Source organism: Homo sapiens, chromosome 20 (genome assembly GCF_000001405.40).
Source record: "Homo sapiens chromosome 20, GRCh38.p14 Primary Assembly".
In the NCBI taxonomy this organism is placed as follows: Eukaryota; Metazoa; Chordata; class Mammalia; order Primates; family Hominidae; genus Homo; species Homo sapiens.
In genome coordinates this window covers 22,691,796-22,711,829 of record NC_000020.11, presented here as the reverse complement: position 1 = coordinate 22,711,829, position 20,034 = coordinate 22,691,796, and the positions used below count along the sequence as shown (strand labels likewise).

The following is a 20,034-nucleotide window of genomic DNA, read 5'->3' as shown; positions in this document are numbered from 1 at the left end:
CCATAGGCAAGCCAGCCTCTCTGCGCTGTGACTTTCTCAACTTAAAACAATGCTGACTCCCACTTCCCAGTCCAGCATGTAAGGAGCTTGGAAGCTGTCGCTCTGTCCTCACAACAAGTGAGAAGCTGAACAAACTACAAAATCAATAACTTTTTATAGACTCTTCAGAAAAGTAAGGTCACAAGGTAAACTGCTGCCTTTAAAAGTGTAAAGATGGTGGTACAGCGAATCACAACTTAGCATAGAAGAAACTCAAAGCAGACACCTCTGTGGGAACCCATGCTGTGGTAGGAAGACCTGACCCATAACTGACAAATTGCTGGAGGTTCAGCGTGGCCAAGCCAGCAAGATGAAAACAGGCTGGGAGAGTGCAGTTAGAGGGAAACCTCAACACTTTTGTGAGTTTTACCTCCAGGAGCCCAGCATGCTTCACAACAAAAATGGGAGAAAAATTTCTTCATGCTTCTGGCAGGAGGAGGGAAATAGAAACCATTATTAAATATGCCAGAGCACTCTGCTCTTTTTAACAAGATCTGCCCTCAGGAGAAACTATTTAGCCAGAACCTAACCTAAGGTTAAGTTTTACCAGACTCTACCCTGCCTGGGAGAAGCAAAATTCCCAACTCCAGCAGCTCTACCCTTCCACATAGAAGAGAAGTACACAATTCCTGACTTGTCTATCCATCATGTCCCACCTAAGAAGTGGGGAGACAGAAAAGCACTTACAAAGTTTACAACCCAGAGTCACAGACTCTCTGAAAGACTCAAAACTAATCACAGGACTATAGAACATTTCCCCTTCCCCCACACCTTACCACCACATCATTAAAGGCCTGTTTAAAGGCATCCCTTTTACCCAATACATCATATTCAAGTATCTAGAAGAAAACACAAGGAATATTAAAAGGCAAAAAACAAACAAAGTTTGAAGACACTGAGTGAACATCAAAACCAGAGTCAGATGTGGCAGAAATGTTGAAATTGTAAGACCAGCGATTTTCCTAAAACTATGATTAGTATGCTAAGGGCCCTAAATGACAAAATAAGCAATATACAAGAACAGAGGATAATGTGAGTAGAGATGGAAATTCTGAGAAAGAATCAAGAAGAAACTATAAATATCAAAAACACTGTAACAGAAATAACAAATGCCTTTGATAAGCTCATTAGTAGACTGGGCATGGCTGAGGAAAGAATCTCTAAGCTTGAGAATATGTCTATAAAAACTTCCAATACTGAAAAGCAAAGAGAAAAAGACAGAAAAAATAAAACAGAATATCCAAGAACTATGGAACAGCTACAAAAGAGGTTATATATGTGTAATGCGAATACCAGAAGGAGAAGAAGAAGAAGGAGCAGCTGTGGTTTGAGTGTGTCTCCCTAATTTCAGATGTTGAAAATTCAATCACCAAATTCACATGTTGATTAGAGGTGGGACCTTTGGGAGGATTAGATTAGGTCATCAGGTCCCCATGACAGGACTGGTGGTTTTATAGGAAGAGAAGAAAGACCTAGGCTTACACACATGCTTTTGCCCTCTCACCATAAAATGATCTTCACCATGTTATGACTCAGCAAGAAGGCCCTCCTCAGATGCTGACACCTTCATATCGGACTTCCCAGGCTCCAGAACTGTAAGAAATGCATTTCTTTTCTTTATAAATAGCCCAATCTGTGGCGTTTTGTTATAGCAACAACAACAACAAAAAATAAGGCTGGACGTGGTGGCTCACGCCTGTAATCCCAACACTTTGGGAGGCCAAGGCGGGCAGATCACAAGATCAGGAGATTGAGACCATCCTGGCTAACACAGTGAAACCCAGTCTCTACTAAAAATACAAAAAAAAAAAAAAAAAAATTAGCTGGGCCTGGTGGCGAGTGCCTGTAGTCCCAGCTAATCAGGAGGCTGAGGCAGGAGAATGGAGTGAACCCAGAAAGCAGAGCTTGCAGTGAGCCAAGATTGCGCCACTGCACTCCAGCCTGGGTGACAGAGAGAGACTCTGCCTCAAAAAAAATAATAATAATAATAGACAAAAACAGAAGATACATTTGAAGCAATAGTAACAGAATTTCATCAATTTTTTGTCAGACAACAAACCACAGATCCACAAAGCTCAAAGAATACCAACCAGCATAAATGCCAGAAAAATGACTCCTAGGCATATCATATTCAAAGTGCAGAAAATAAAAAATAAAGAAAAACATCTCAAAAGAAGTCAGAGGAAAAAAACACTTGATCTACAGAGGAGCAAAAATAATCACATCTGACTTCTCAAATCATCCAAGCAAGAAGAAAATAGAATGAAATGTTTAAAATATTGAGGAACAATAACCCCCACCAATCTAAATTTCCTGTAGTCTGTGAAACTATTATCCAATATTTAAGGTGAAATAAAGGTGTTCTTGGACAAACAAAAAATGAGATAATTTGTTGCCAGTAGAATTGCTTTGCAAAAAATATTTACAGAAGTTCTTCAGAGAAGGAAAATGATACTGGCCAGAAACCAGAATCTAGCTCCTGATGAGGTTATAGATGATTCAAACTACTCAAATTCCAGCTGTGTCCCCAGGGTTTCTGATCAACCATTGTGGGGAACACCTGGAAAGATGCCCTGGGTCCAGAAACATGGTCCAGGGAAAATCAGGAGGAGGCCAGCAACCCACTGCTGACAATTGTGCTGGTTACCAGGCATTAGTTAGTGGCCATTTTTATTGGACACTGGGATGGTTAAGGTGAGACGATGTTGGGAAGGTAAGGGGAACAGGTTCTGGAGCACAGTCCGACCCTCTTCCAGTGGCAGCCTTGGCCTGAGGCAGCTCCAGCCATCTATATCCATTAACCCTATGGCAAGTGGGACAGACTGCAATCTCCCTCTTCCCTCCTTTGCCCTCCCACTCCATAGCCCGGAAAACTCCATTCTGGCTGGGTGGACCCTATTATTCTTTTATCAGTATTCTTTCTTTCTGACTTTTGCAAATATATACTCTTCTGCCTGGGTTTTAAAAATGTAAAGTGTATCATAACTTCACCCTGGACCCCAATATATTTCTATCAGTAAACTTCTGCCTCGCACCCACATCCCTGGCCTAAGGAAGTTCCATGGGCCACTCCTAGCAGTCATGCACCCAGACAAGCCATGATGCCGTGAGATTGTATCCTGGGCCTGAGAAACAGCCATATAGGCCGCTTTCTGCAGACATGTCCCCAGGCCAACTGTGCCATTGTGCAGTCATGTTTCAGGCCTGAAAAACAGCCCTGTGGGCCCCCAGGCCAGACAAGCTGCTTTGCACCCATATACTGGAGCTGAGAAAAAGCCCCACAGGCCACCACTAGCAGAAACATACTCAGGTCAGCCAAGAAGCCATGAGATTGTTTCCTGGACCTGAGAAACATCCCTGTGGGCTGCCTCTGGAAAACAGACCCCAGCTCAGCTGAGTAACCACATGGCCGTGGTCCCAGCCAGAGTAACAGCTCCATGTCCCAACCCTAGTGAGCCAGACCCCAAGTTGGCTGACCCAATGTGTGCACACACATGCTTCACCTGAGAAATAGCCCTGCAAGTCCACTCCTGGCAAAGCTGTGCCTCCACCACCACAAACTGTCTCAGCCTGGGCCACTAAGAAACTTCAAACATCACTAGTGTGGATTACAGCTAAAGAAACTACCTGGAGACTATACCACTGCATCCACCTAGAGCCAAGGCCGACATGTCCACCAAACTGACAATCCAAGACCCACTCATATGAATAAATTTTTCCCTAAGAAATCTACTCCATAAAATTAGAAGAAGCAACTTTTCCATCTGTTGTATATAAATCAATGTAGGAACACATCAACCATGAAAAAGCAAGGAAACATAACATTTCCAAAGGAAAACAATAATTCTCAAGTAACAGACCTGAATCATAAAGAAAAAGAATTCAAAATAATAATGTTTTTAAAACTCAGTGAGGTACAAGGGAATACAGACAGAAAATTTAACTATATCAGGAAAACAAGTCATGATTTGAAAGAGAATTTCAACAAAAAGATATATATTATTTTTTAAAAAAAGAACTAAATGGAAATCCTACAGCTACAGAGTTCAATGAATGAAATGGAGATACAATTGAGAGGTGAAACAACAAACTAAACCAGGCAGAAGAAATAATTTCTGACCTTGAAGACAGATCTTTTGAAATAACACAGGCAAAGAAAAATAAAAGATTAAAAAGTATGAAGAAAGTCTACAATGTTTCTAGGACCCATTAAGTAAACCAATATTTGTATTATGGATACTCCAGAAGGAAAAGAGAAGGGAAAAGGTATAGAAAACATATTTAATAAAATAATAGCTGAAAACTTCCCAAGTCATGGACTAGAGATGAACATGCATGTTCGGGAAGCTCAAAGAACCTCAAATAGATTCAACTTACACAGGTCATCTCTGAAGCATAGTATAATCAAATTATCAAGATTCAAAGACAAAGAAAGAATTCTAGAAGTAGTAAGAGAAAAGCATCAGGTCACATATAAAGAAATTTCACAGTAGACTAACAGCAAATGTATTGGCAGAAATCATACAAACAAGAGAGGAATGGGATAATATATTCCAAGTACTAAAAAATAAAATAAAATAAAAAGCTGACAGTAAAAAAAAAATTATACTAAACAAAGCTACCCTTCAGAAATGGAGAAATTAAATATTTCACAGATAAGCAAAAACAAAGGGAATTCAACACCACTAGACTGGCCTTACAAGAAATGCTCAAGAGAGTCTTACATGTGTAAGTGAAGAGACAATAACTACCATCAGAAAACACAGAAAACTATAAAACTCACTGGTAGAGCTGATACACAAAGAAGGAAGAGAAGGAAATCAAACCTTATCACTATGGAGAACCACCCAACTACAAAAATAAACAATAAGAGTGAAAGTAAGGAACAAAGGATATACAAAACAAGCAGAAAACAATCAATAAAATGACAGGAGTAAGTCCTCACTTATCAATAATAACCTTGAATGTGAACAGGATAAATTCACCCATATAAAAGATGTAGACTAACTGAATGAATAAAAAACCAAGACCCAACTATATGCTACCTACAAGAAACTCATCTTATCTGTAAAGGTACATGTAGCCTGAAAGTAAAGGGATAAAAATGTATCTAAGAAATATATCCCTTTTGGTTTTTTGGACAAAACCAAAAGCAAGGAGTAGCTATGCTTGTATCAAAAATAGACTTCAAGTCACAAGCTGTCAAAAAAGACAAAGAAAGACATTATGTAATAACAAAGGGATCAATTCAGCCAGAGACTATAACAATTATAAATATATATATAAATATATATGCACCTAATATGCACCTAATAATACCCAGATATATAAAGCAAATATTATTAGATCTAAAGGAGAAGCTACCATAATTGTTGGGGACTTGAACACCCCAATCTCAGCATTGTGCAGACCTTCTAGACAGTAAATTAACAATGACAATTAAAACAACAACAACAACATTGGATTTAAACTGCACTATAGACCAAGTGGACCTAACAGATATTTATAGAACATTTCACCCAACAGCTGGAGAATACACATTCTTTTCATCAGTGCATGGAAAATTCTTTAGGATTGACCACATGTTAGAATACAAAACAAGTTTGAAAAAAAATTTATAAATCAAAATTATATCAAGTACCTTATTGACTACAATGAAATAAAATAAAACTAGACATCAATAGCAAGAATATTCAAAATAATGTAAATATATGGAAATTAAACAGCATTCTCCTAAAAGGCCAATGGGTGAAGGAAGAAATCAATAATGATAGTTAAAAATTCCTTGAAACAAACGAAAATAGAAACACAACATAGCAAAACCTATAGGTCATGGCAAAAGCAGTATTAAGAGGCAAGTTTATAGCAATAAATGCCTACATCAAAAAATTAGAAAGATTTCACATAAACAGCCTCATGATGCGCCTCATGAAATCAGAAAAGCAAGAACAAACCAAATGCCAAATTCATAGGAGAGAAATAATAAAGATCAAGGCCAGGCATGGTGGCTCATGTCAGTAATCCCAGCATTTTGGGAGGCCAGGAAGGGAGGATCATTTGGGGTCAGGAGTTCAATGTCAGCCTTGTCAACATAGTGAGACCATGTATCTACAAAAAATTTAAAATAAAATTAGCCAGGAGTGGTGATTCATGCCTCTAGTCTTAGCTACTTGGGAGGCTGGGGTGGGAGGATGTTTTGAGCCTAAGTTCAAGACTGCAGTGAACTATGATAGTACAACTGTACTCCAGCCTGTGACAGAGTGAAGCTCTGTCAAAAAAAAAAAAAAAAAAAAGCAAAAATAAATGAAATTAAAACAAAAAAAATGCAAAAGATAAATGAAACAAAAAATAGATTTTTCTGAAATGATAAAATTGGCAAACCATTAGCTAGACTAAGAAAAAAAAGGGAACATACTCAAGTACATGAAATCAAAAATGGAAAAGGATACATCATAAAGGATAGCACAGAAATAAAAAGGAGCCTTAAAAACTACTATAAACAACTATATGCCAATACATTCAAAAACTTAGAGGAAAAGGATAAGTTTCTGGACACATACATCCTATCAAAATTGAACCAAGAAGAAATAGAAAACCTGAATAGACCAATATTGCGTGAAAATATTAAATAGGTAATAAAAAGTCTCCCAATAAAGTTAAGTCTAGGACCAGATGACTCCACTGCTGAATTCCATCAAATCTTTAAAGAAAAATGCATACCAATTCTTCTCAAACTATTCAAAAAAACTGAAGAGGAGTGAGTTCTTCCTAACTCATTTTACAAAGCCAGCATAACCCTGAGACCAAAACCAGAAAATGACACAACAAAAAAAGAAAATAAAGTATCAAAATAGTTAAGATATTTTTGACAAAACGACAAAAATAGAAAAAAAATCTAAACTACATAAAAGACTCTAAATACCCAAAGCAATCTTGAGCAGAAAGAACAAAACTGGAGGCAATTACTTTACCAGACTACAAGATATACCACAAAGCTATAGTAACCAAAACAGTGTGGTACTGGCATAAAAACAGACACAAATACCAATTGTACAGTACAGTGGACCCAGAAGTTAATTCACATATCTATAGCCAACTGATTTTTAACAGAGTTGCCTAGGTCGCTCACTGAGGGAGAGGACTGTCTCTTCAATAAGTGGTCTTTAGAAAACTGAATATTCATATGCAGATGAATAAAACTCTCACTCTACAAAAATAAACTTAAAATGGATCCCAGACCTAATTGTAAGACCTGAAACTATAAAATTACTAGAAGAAAACAGGGAAAATGCTTCATTACTTTGGTCTGGGAAAATATTTTATGAATAAGACCTCAAAAGCACAGGTAACAAAAGCAAAAATAAACAAATGGGATTACATCAAACTAAAGAGCTTCTGCACAGCAAAGGAAGCCATTAGCTGAGTAAAACAACAGCCTGCAGAACGGGAAAACATATTTGCAAACTATTCATCCCAAAGGGGATTAATATGCAAGAAACTCAAACATTTCAACAGCAAAATATATATATATATACATATATCTAAAAACAGACATTCTCAAAAGAAGACATACAAATAGCCAGCAAATATATGAAAAATGCTGAATATCACTAATCAACAGGGAAATGCAATTCAAACCACAATGAGTATCATCTCACCCTGACCCCAGTTGGTATGGCTATTTTCAATAAGACAAAAAATAACAAACACTGACAAAAAAAGATATATGGATGACAAGTAAAGCATATGAAAATATGTGTGACATCATATGTTTTAAAAGAAATGCAAATTAAAATGAGATACCACCACACACCTATTAAAATTTCCAAAATCCAAAACACTGACAACACCAAATGCTTACAAGGATGTGGAGCAACAGGAGCTCATTCATTGCTGGTAGGAATGCAAAATGGTAAAGCTGTCTGGGAAGAGAGTTTCACTGTTTCTTACCAAACTAAACATACTCTTACCATACAATTTAACAAATGTGTTCATTGATATTTACCCAAGTGAGTTGAAAACTTTTGTCAACACTAAAACCTGCATATAAATGTTTATAGCAGGTTTCTTTATAATTGCCAAAACTTGGAAGCAACCAAGATGTCCTTCAGTAGGTGAATGGGTGAATAACTGTGATACAGCTAGACAATGGAATATTCTTCAATGCTGAAGATGAGTTATTCAGCCATGACAAGACATGGAGGAACCTTAAATACATACTACTAAATTTTAAAAATCCAATCTAAAAAGGCTACACATTGTATGAGTCCCACTATTTGACATTTTGGAAAAGACAAGACTATGGAGTCAGTAAAAAAAGTAAAAAGTGCTTTCCTGTGGGTTGGGGGAGGAGGGATGAATGGTGGAGTATGGAGAATTTTTAGGGCAGTGAGACTATTTTGTAAGATACTATAATAGTTGATAGACACCATTACCTGTTTGTCAAAACCCACAAAATGTATAGCCCTAAGAGTGAGCCCTAATGTAAATTATGGACTTTGAGTGATAATGAGGTGTCAGTGTAGATTCATTGATTGCGACAATGAGCCATTCAGTTGTGGCAATGTTGACAGTGGGGGAGGCTTGCATGTGCGAGGCCAGGGGATAGATGGAAACTGTATTTTTAGCTAAATTTTGCTGTGAGCCCAAAGCTGCTCAGGAAATAAAGTCTGGCCAGGCACAGTGGCCCACGCCTGTAATCCCAGCACTTCGAGATGCTGAGGCAGGGGGCTCACTTAAGGCCAGAAGTCTGAGAACAGCTTAAGCAACATAGTGAGACTCTGTCACTACAAAAAAATTTTTTTAATTAGCTAGGAATGATGGTGTATACCTGTAGTCCCAGCTGCTTGGGAGGCTGAGGATCAATTAAGCCTAGGAGTTCAAGGCTGCAGTGAACTATGATCACACCACAGCACTCCAACATGGGTGACAGGGTGAGACCCTGTCTCTAAAAAATATAAATGAATACACAAAAACAAAGTCAATTTTTTTAAGTTAAAAAACATCAGTGCTTGTGGACAAAGTGATCATCAGGACCCGGCCATCCCTGAGGGCTACAATGGTTCCACGAGAACAGCTTTAACAGTCTGAGATGTGATACTTCTGAGAAATAGAGGAAAGAAGCAACTAAGTTTCAAGGGGAGACTCACTCTCTCAGTGTGAGGGGCCACTGCCATGCAGGTCACGGACTGGGAGCTGGATTTAGAAGGAATTCCACTCAATGTGACCAACACCTTCTATGCATGGAGTAAGTGAAAATCCTTCTGTTAGAGGTGTGATGTTTAAGGGGAGAGTCAAGGAGTCCCAAAGTAATGAGAACAAGCAGGTTTCAAGGTGGGATTGATGCTGGGGTGAGCGGCAGAGAGCTGAGATAACAACCTCTAGGAGCCAGACTCTTAAATGACATTAATATGTGTACACGTTCCAGAGTGTCCACAGTTATGAATAAAGCAGAGAAGACAAGGGGCATGAGGAGGAGAATAAGCCAGGGGAGTTGGCAACAAGGAGGCCATAAATGACTGCAAGATTCTTGAAGGCAGAAAGTCGACCTGATGCTGCTTATGCCACATCAGGCAGTCTTTCTCACAGCATCCACTGATTCATGTGAGAGCTATTGATTAAGAAATGTACTGCATGCCAGGTCCAGGATATTCAACAAGGAGCAGGAAAGGCAGATTCTTGCCTTTGGCATGAACAGTGTAGCAGAGAAGAGACAAGAGTCCACTTGTCCATGTGAGCAGGACATGATGGCACAGCATGGTGAATGCTGTGATAGAGGGAGTTTAGGGCAATGTGGAGAACCCACTGTGAAGCAGCACCCCATCTAGGTTTGAAGTCAGGAAGGTAGGGCTTCCTGGAGAAAGTTATGCCCAAGTTGGGACCAATGCCAGACATACATTAGTCAGAGCAAGTAACACCAGCTGCTGTAACAAATGAGCTCCAAATTATAGACACTGTTACAGGCTGAACTGTGTTCCCAAAAAGAAAAGATATGCTCTTAATTCCTGGTACCTGTGAATGTGACTTTATTTGGAAACAGGGTCCTTGAAGATATAATCAACTTAGGAAGGAGTCATGCTGGCTTAAGGTGGGCCCTGAGCCATGTCTGGTGTCCTTATAAGAAAGGAAAATGTGGACACATGCAGACACAGAAGGACAGCATCACGTGTGGACAGAGGCTGTGACTGGGGTGGAGCCTCTATGGGCCAAGGGGTGCCAACGATTCCCAGCAACCACAGAGACAAGAAAGAGGAAGGAAGGATCCTTCCCTGGAGCCTTGATAGTGAACATGGCCCAGGGCAAGCTCCGGGAATGTGAGACAATACCTTTCTCTTGTCTTAAGGCACCCAGCCTGCGGTACTTTGTTACGGAGGCTTAGCACACTAGGGAGGTTATTCCTTGTTTGCCCTGACTTTGGCTCAGAGGAGTAGCTGGGGGTAGGGGTGGGAGTGGCTGTGCTCCACAGAGTCACTAAGGGACCCAGGATCCTTCTCTCTTGTTGCTCCACCTTCCTTTAGGACCTCCACAAGAGAAGCAGAGATGGAATAGAGAGAACACAGAGACCCCATGGGAGGCTTCAGGATCAAGCTACCTCACTGCACCCACATCCTATTACCAGAACAAAGTCAGATTCCCTACCCTCAACCAAAAGGGACATGGAAATATCCTCTTTCTGTATATCTAGGGGGAAAATAAAGCATTTTTGGTGAAAACATAGCATTTCACTGTTTCTTCCCCAAAATGCAAGCTGTTTTTTGAACTATAAGTACAGAGCTCCTTTGAAGCTTCCTGGGATGATTCCTAGTGCCATTATTCTGGGCTGTGGGAATAACCATTTTCATTGTCTATATCATCTACAATTCCAGTGTAACTCAAGATCCATTTGTGCAGACCAAAGTGTCCAACTCTTTCCAGTCTGCTATCAGGAGTGCCTCTCCATTATCCCTGCTGTGGACAAGCTCTTCCCTTCCTGGGCCTCCTAACTCAGCTGCATTCATTTCTGGGTAAAGCAAACAGACCTCTTAGAGTTCCTCTGATAGGGTGCTCTTGTTTTCAGGTGGGAAGCTGTTTTGCTTTGCCCTATGGTGCCCTTATTGATGAAGCTGAGTAGAGCTACAGTAGAGCTCTGCTGCAAACTGTTGAGGCCTTTGGAGAGTGTTTTTCTGGGAAAGATGCCTGAGTTCTTTCAACCCCCTGGGGAACTAAATGCCAGCAAAGCATGACTGGCTCTGGGCCCAGCTATGAATACAAGGAGCAAGATAGACAGATCTGGGTGCATTTCTTTTCCATTATCATCCCATTGTATCTGGAGCCCAGGAGAGGAGATGAAAGTGCTAGCAATTAATCTGGGGCCAGATGGCTCGGCCAATCCCATCCCACTCTCTGTGCTGTGGGGTCATTTCCATTTGCCTTTTATTTTGACAAGCATATTAATCAGCAAAGGTGAGTGGCATTATTAAAGCAGCTGCTGGTGCCAGCACTCTCTCCCCCAACCCTGCCACACTCAGTTTCAAGTCGTTCTCTCCAGTAAAGAGGGAGGCTTCTGTCCAGCTCATCGGGAGTAATTACTGCTTTACTCTTTACAGGTAGCTCAGCACACACATGCGCACACATGTGCACACACATGCATGTACATGCACATGCATGACACACATGCACACAAACACTACTGTGCCTATCAGAGGATGCCTGCATGAGTGAAGAGTTGGACTTTCCCACTGCACACTGAACAGAGACAGGGCAGGTCTTACTGCCATTTCTTTCTCTCTACTTGTCCAGACACATTGAGGTCCAGTCTTGAACACAGAGAGAGAATATTTAAAATACCATTGACTTCCAAGCCTCCCACAGCCAACCTGCCCATAGATACATTACATAGCTATTTAAGTTTGACAGCGTTCTGAATTCCTCTGGCAAGGGGAGAATAGATTGAACCTCCTAAGTCATAAGATAGGAAGAGAGAATTACGGCAAGGAGAAGAGGAGAGGAGTTGTTGTGGCAAAGACTTTGAGCACAATTGCAGGGCATTGTTTTCATAATTGTGTATATTTACATTAAACCACTGAAGATGCTGTGGCTGCTGAATTGGCCACCACCAGTTCATTCTGCAATGTTCCTCACTGGTGCTGGATGTCAGGGATGCACTGGGTTTAGGGGCTACAAACTGGCAGCAGAGAATCTTGTTGCAATGTCGCCCACAGCCTCACAGGGCAGGCCCACGTGCAATAGTTGCATCCACGGATAATGGGGTGGAGCAGAGGAGGTGAAAGCTTTGGATTCCTAGGTCTCACCTGTGAGGCACAGAGGGGAGCCATTTGATACTGCACTTGCACTCAGCAAATGACAGTGGAAACACCAAGTGTGTGGCTCAGATCTAGAAACACAACTCATTTCCATTAACCATCAAGTGAAGCTGAGCAGAGAGTTGGGAGACTGAACTTAATTGGAAGCACAGAGGTCATCAGATTGTATGCTCAATTGGCACGACTCTGTCTCAGAGCCCTAACTGGGAAAGAGGCTGCCCGCTCTCACTCCATGGCCTGAAGGGAAGACAGCAGGTGAAAAATCAGTGCACAGTTACCACCACTGCAGGAGGACAGCAGAGACTCTTGTCATCACAATGGACGGGGGCACTTGTGACATCTTTGTCCAAAGAAGGAGCACATTGTCCTGCCTGGTCTTAAACCCAGCCTCTTTGGCATAAAATTTTTAAGGTAAAATAGGTTCATGGTCCAAAGCTATTGAAACAGCATTCTCTGCCTCCTCACTTTGATATTTTTATCCAGGTCAGATCAGATTAAAATGAACAGCAGGAAATTCCATGACAGATGAAAAAAGCACACAAACTTAGACAAGAGAATTGTGAAAGTCAATTTCTATTTAACAGATATTTATTAAAGATTCACATGTGCTGACACTGTTCTGGGTACTTGAAAACATCAATGAACAAAACAATGCTGGCCCTCCTTGAACTTGGTTGCATCCTAGCAGTTGGAAACAGGTAAAACAGAGTAATAAGTGAGTAAATTATCTAGGAAATGGTAAAGAGTACAGCAGAATTGAGTCAGAGCAGAGAGGGTGGGGCAGTTACAGAATTAAACGAAGTGCTCAGGGAGGCCTCATTGGAAAGGTGGCATTTGGGAAAGACTCGGAGGAAGTGCAGGAGTGAGTCAAACTGACATATGGAGGAAGAGTGTTCACATTTCAGAGATTACAGTGGCCAGCGTGGCTGCAACAAAATGAGCAAAAGGAAATATCCCAGGAGCTGATGTCAGGAAGCAGCAGGACCCACATCTGTGGGACTTCCAGGCCACGGCAAGGAGTTTTATTCAGAATAAAACTTTTATTCTGAATAAAACGGAGGCCCTGAAGGTTATTAGCACAGCACTGATATCAGGTTACTCAAGTATTCTAAGGATTACTTAAACCTGGCTGCCATGCTGGGAATAGATTACAAGGAAACAGGGACAGAAACAAGAAAACAAAAATTAGATGATGGTATTTAGACCAGGGTAGTAGCAGAAAAGATAGTGAGAATTGGTCAGGTTCTCAGTATTCTGAAGATAGAGCCAATGGGTTTTATAACAGGTTTGATGTAGAGATAAGTGAAAAAGTGAGGTTGAGAATGCCACCAAGATGTTCCCTGGGCTGTTGGGATGGTGGAGTTTCTATTAACTGGCATGGAAAGGTGGCAGTGGAACAGGCTCAGGCTAAAACCCAAGAGTTCTGTGTTAGCTATGATCACCTTGAGATGTGCTTAGGCATCCAAGTGGAAAGGTTGAGTAGGCAGTTGGGTATATAAATCTGGAATTTAGGAAAAGATTTAGGTTAAAAATATAAACATGGAAGTTATAGCATACCAATGGTATTTAAAGCTATGAGACAAAATGGGGTCATCAAAGGGGAGTGTCTTTAAAAAGAAGACAAAGAGCTGACATTACAAGGTCATGGACAAAGGAGAAACTGGCAAAGGTGACAGAGAAAACAAAGCAGTGTGTGGTGTCCTAGAAGCCAAATGCAGAAAATGTTTCAAGGAGTTGGAAGCACTCAATAAATCTTTTCCAATGCTGCTGAAGGGTCAAATCGGATGAGGACTGAGAATGGACCTTTGGCTTCAGCAACATGGAGGTCAAGGTGATCTTGACAAGAGCAGTTAGTTGAGTTCAAGGATTCTAGTCTGATGAGAGTGGAATCAAAAGAAAGTGGGAAGCAATGAATTAATGACAGCAAGTGACATCTTTCAGAGTTTTGTCTCAAATGGAAAGCAAAGAAATGTACATAAGCTGGAGGAAGAAGGGTCATGAGAGTGATCTTCAGATGAGAGAAATTATATAAGCTTGTTGAGTGATGGGAATGATCCAATACAAAGCCAACAGCTGGCAACGTAGGAGAGAGAGGGTAGAATCCCTAACAAAGCTGAGACCTCGTGCACTAGAGAGAAAGGTGGTGTTACTTTGCGAAAGAGGCAAGAAGGCAGAAGTGAAGGTGCAAAGAAAGGTGGATGAGTAAAGGTGGCAGTGACTGTCTTTGGAACTTATCTGGTTACTTAAATTTTTCCAGTAAAGGTAGAAGCTGAGAGAGAGAATGGGGTAAGAGATATGGGGAATTGAGAAGAGAAGAGAAGAGAAGAGAAGAGAAGAGAAGAGAAGAGAAGAGAAGAGAAGAGAAGAGAAGAGAAGAGAAGAGAAGGTGTGACATGGCCATTTAGAGAACATGAGAGAGGAGGGACATGCAACGGCACTGCCAGGCAGCATGAAGGGCCTCAGGTTTTCACAGCCATGAAGTTGAAGCCAGACATGCGGCCGTGGTGTGTGCTTCCCTGCAGGCATGTTCAGCTGCACCAAAGTAGGCAAGGAGTAGGCAGATTTGATTTCACCAGGGTTGTGGGTTGCCAAGCTAGGAGGAGAGAGGAGCAAGGTGGTGTTGATAGTGACTGACCACGAGATTGGAGCTGGGAAAGTGGGGGTGAGGAATAGTAGAAAGGAGGATTTCTGCTTCCAACAAAGATGGAGTAACAGGAATCAGAGCTACCCTCCCATCTTAAAGAACTAAATAACTGGTTCTCTCTCTCTCTCTCTCTCTCTCTGTGTGTGTGTGTGTGTGTACACATATGTACAGGACCCAGTGATCTCCCTGAGTTTAGAAGATGGAGCTGGGAATCTGGGGAGGCTACAGCGGTAGAATCCCAGAGAGGTCCACTGCATAGATAGAGAACTCTAGAAGACTGAAAGAGGCACAGAGAGCTAGAGGGCCACAGAGAGACACAGAGGGCCACAGAGAGTCACAGAGGGTTACAGAGGACTGCAGAGGGCCACAGAGGGCCTCGTGGAGCTGCAGAGGGCCGGAGAGGGCTGCAGAGATCCACAGACGGCCACAGAGGGCCCAGAGTCCTCTATAGGTCTTCAGCAGAGCATACTTGAGTGTGAGGCAAGTGGGCAAGGCTGAAGAAGAACCATCAGAAAGGAGAGGAGGGGACAGCCTGCAGCACTCATGCAGGTAAAACAGCGAGTGTTTTACCACTGCTCTTCTGCAAAGCCTCCTAACACACAGGCATCAGTAGAGTACTCAGAAGGTTATTATCTCAACAGAGGGGCAAAATCGGGCTACTCTGGCCTTATTGAGCAAAACTTAAAAGCAAGATCCTAAAAGATCAAAAATTGTTTTCTTATTTTTTTTTTTAAGACAGGGTCTCACTTTGTTGCTTAGGCTGGATTTGAACTCCTGGGCTTAAGCAATCCACCTGTCTCGGCCTTACAAGCAGCTGGGACTACAGGCTCTCATCACAGCACCCAGCCTCTGTCCCCTTACCTACATCCCAGAACAAAGCTTTAATTTTTTTGTATTAAAATAATATAAAAATATTCAGGACCAACAAGGTGAAATGTGGTAGGATCAATGGGATGAATATCCTAGTAGGCTTGCAGGATTGCTGGCCTTAGAATTCTAGAGAAAGTAAACTAGAAATATGGTCAGAAAGGGAAGTCCTTAAAAGTAAGATAGTAGCAGAGCTGTAGTTATTGCTAATGACATCTCAAATCAATGATAAAAGTGAGTGGAGGATAGGATGGGTGAAGAATCAGGGTTCAATAACTGAGAGGCCAGGTTCTACAAAGAATCATGTGTGCACACACTGAAACTATTAAGAATGAAGATAGATGCAATATTGGAGAGAATGACAGCAAGCCAGGATCATTAATCATCTAGAACAGCATCATCCATTACAACAGTCATTAGCTGTGCATGGCTATTTCCATTTTAATTTTTAAACTTTAACTGCTGTTAAATAAAGTTTAAAAAAATACGTCCTTAGTTGCAGCAGCTAGATTTCAAGTGCTCAGTAGCCACACGAGGCAGGTGGCTATCATTTTGCACAAGCAGTTATGGAATCTTTCTATCATGGCACGAAGTTCTATTGAACAGCGCTGGCCTGCGTTTGGGGAAATAAGTTGGAAGAGGACAGAAAGGCAGCAGCAACTGAGGATACCCTCTTTGGGATCAGTGTGGGCCAGAGGCTTGGGCCTAAAAACCAAAAAATCCTCTCCTTTTCTCCTCCTGTTGCCTATCTAGTCCCCACAGCAGCAAGAAATGAAGCTGGAGGTCAGATGTGGTCAATCCAGAAATAGCTCCCTTCTTGAATATGTTGGTGGGGTTATCCCAGCCTGAACCTTTCATTTATTTTGAGCTTGAGCTGCCTTAGACTGTGCCATTTTTAATGGAATATTTCTTGGGCTTCATATCTTTAAGCATCTCAATTGCTCTATATTTCTGGTGCACTTTTGAACCAGATTCGCTCTCTCCCAGTTTAGGAAGGAGTGAGTGTTAAACAGTCCTGGCTTTATTGGCAGGGCTAAGGCACCCTGCACTCTGCACCGTGGGCATTATGATGACATAAAGACTATGAAGTTAAAACCCAGAGTGGCTTCCATCCAAGATCCTTGTGAAACGATGGTGCTATGAGGGAACCAAAGATTGAGCAATTTGAACAATTGAAATTAGACTGAACAATTTAACGCAGGAGTTAATTTTCTTAAATGAAAGAAGAGAGGATAAATTTGGAATTGTTTTGCAAAGAAAAGACAGGCCATGGTTACTGTCAGAGATAGGAATCCAACATGGAGCCTCACTCCTTGGAGCTGAGACTGGCTGAGCAGAAGGACCAGAACCCCCAGCCTCTGCTTACAGCTCCCCTAGCATCCTTCTCTCGGGTTCTGTGGACCACCCCCAAATATGACCTCTGAGGAGCAGACCTTGGCTCAAGGAATGCTTTGAGTTCCCCAAGAAATAGAAGTTTTAAAAAATATTATGTTAAATATTTTGTTTTAAAAAAAACAACATAGAAGCTGCCCCTTGTCCTCAGAGATGGCACGAACTTTAGTTCTATACATGAGAACTACAACTTGGGGAGGTGGAAGTGCTTCCTGGGTCCAGGAACCAAGAAATAGGGCACAAGCAGAATTGAGCTAGTTGGGTTAGTACCCCAGGCAAGAACAGGGTTATGAGGATATCTGGGTAAAATATGGGACATCTGACCCCCAGAACACGCTGGACAACACAACCAACACTGAGGCTGACTTTACTAAGCTGGGAGCTGCTGACTGATCTTCTCGTGGCCTGGGATGGGTGCTCCCAGTGCCTGGGGAAGAGCCAGTCCTGAGTATGGCAGCTCAGCAGGTGGATGAGGTAAGTGTGGGGACCAGTAGACCTTCCTTTCAGACAGAGAGGTAGATGGATAAACTCCAGGGAGGGGTGCCTGCCTGAATAAAAATATGAAACCTGGAATGGGTAAGAAATTAGCTTAGGTTCACACGGAATCAACCCAAATGCCCATCAATGATAGAATGGATTAAAAAATGTGGTGCATATACACCATGGAATATTATGCAGCCATAAAGAGGAAAGAGGTCATGTCCTTTGCAGGGATGTGGATGGAGCTAGAAGCCATCATCCTCAGCAAACTAACACAAGAACAGAAAACCACACACTGCATGTTCTCACCCATAAGTGGGAGCTGCCTCTCTACCCTGAATGCAAGAGACCCTCATAGTTAGACAATATCATTGCCCCTATTCAGCCTGAAGAAGTTACAGAAGATGGATCTTTGTCCCTCTGCAACCCTTAGGATTAAGGGCTCTCTTATAAAAGGGAATGTTAGAGGCATGTGAACCAGAGCAACTTCATCTTAAACAGGAGCTGGGTAATATGAAGCTGAAACCTACAGGGCTGCATTCCCAGACGGTTAAGGAATTCTAAGTCACAGGATTAGACAGGAGGTCGGCACAAAATACAGATCATAAAGACCTTGCTTATTAAAAAAAAAAAAGAAAAAAGAAAAAAAATTAGCCAGCCAAAACCCACCAAAACCAAGATGGCGACGAGAGTGACCTCTGGCCATCCTCACTGCTACACTCCAACCAGCGCCATGACAGTTTACATATGCCATGGCAATGTCAGGAAGTTACCCTATATGGTCTAAAAAGGGGAGGCATAAATAATCCACCCCTTGTTTAGCAGATAATCAAGAAATAACCATAAAAATAGGCAACCAGTAGCTCTAGGGGTTGCTCTGTTTACGGAGTAGCCATTCCTTTATTCCTTTACATTTTTTTTTTTTTTTTGAGTCTCACTCTGTCACCCAGGCTGGAGTGCAGTGGCATGATCTAGGCTCACTGCAACCTCGCCTCCTGGGGTCAAACAATGCTCTGCCTCAGCCTCCCGAGTAGCTGGAATTACAGGCGACTGCCACCACGCCCAGCTAATTTTTTTTTCTTTTCTTTTTTTTTTTTTTTTTTGTACTTTTAGTAGAGACGGGGTTTTGTTTCCATGTTAGCCAGGCTGCTCTTAAACTCCTGACCTCGTGATCCACCCCCCTCAGCCTCCCAAAGTGCTGGGGTTACAGGCGTAAGCCACTGTGCCTGGCCTAGTTTCTTAATAACCTTGCTTTCACTTTGCAAAAAAATAAATAATAATAATAAATGGGAGCTGAACAATGAGAACACATGAACACAGGGAGGGGAACAACACACACTGGGGCCTGTCGTGGGGCAGGGGTAGAGACAGCATCAGGATAACTAGCTAATGAATGCAGTGCTAAATACCTAGGTGATGGGTTGATAGGTGCAGTAAACAACCATGGCACGTTTACCTACGTAACAAACCTGCACATCCTGCACATGTATCCCGGAACTTATAATAAAATTTAAAAAAATAAAATAGCTTGGGTTCATCGGTGGTTTCTACAAGGAACCAGAGTCCCACTGTCTTTGCGTGGATCACTTACTAACCTTGATACTCAGAGCTAGGGCAACAGCATCTTTAGAAACAAAAAACAAGGAAAATGGCTCAAAATGTGATTCACTTTTTTTTCCCAGGCCCTCTTTCCTCTCCAAGTGCTTGCATTTTGCCTCCATCTTTTCTCTTCCCCATTGTTGGATATTTTCACCGTGCTCATCTCAGCACTGATGGAGAGAGGAAGGAAGAAGGGCTGTCTGGCCATGCCCAGCCATCCCCACCGGGAGAGGATGCCCAAGGAGGAAGCTTCCAGGCAAGCTTTCTGGGAGCTGGAGGAGTTAGAAGATGAGGTTCTTCATCTTCATATGTTCCCTGCAGGCTCAAGGTACTGCTCGCTGCTTGCAGGAGGGACAGGGAAGCCTGAACACCACGATAACCCCAATTGGGGTTATCCGGCAGCTGCCCCACACCCTGGACATGCCGACAAGGAAAAGAAACACCGGGAATGTGTCTCCCCTTAGTCCTGCCTCTGACCTAACCTGCTGTTGGTCAGAGTTAGAGGCTGTGCACATAACCAGCTTCTCCATCAGGCCTGAGCTGGGGGTCGCTTGAGACTTTATCCAGCTCATTGCTCGCGCCTTGGCGGAGCCGGCCATTGTTAGCTCTGCCAGGGCCTCCGGCTGAGGCCGAGCCGGTAGGGAGCTTGTGCCTGTGCGGCCGAATGAACCCTGAAACGGCACCCTCTGCTGCCCTCTACTGTCAAATCGG

The 20,034-nt window shown here is 42.2% G+C and overlaps 1 annotated feature.

Moving 5' to 3' along the window:
* Positions 19,926-20,025: a silencer, noted in NCBI's record as "silent region_12718". NCBI's record gives its function as "represses an Ori minimal core promoter by ATAC-STARR-seq in GM12878 lymphoblastoid cells {active_cell/tissue: GM12878}" and the evidence as "EXISTENCE:reporter gene assay evidence [ECO:0000049][PMID:35858748]".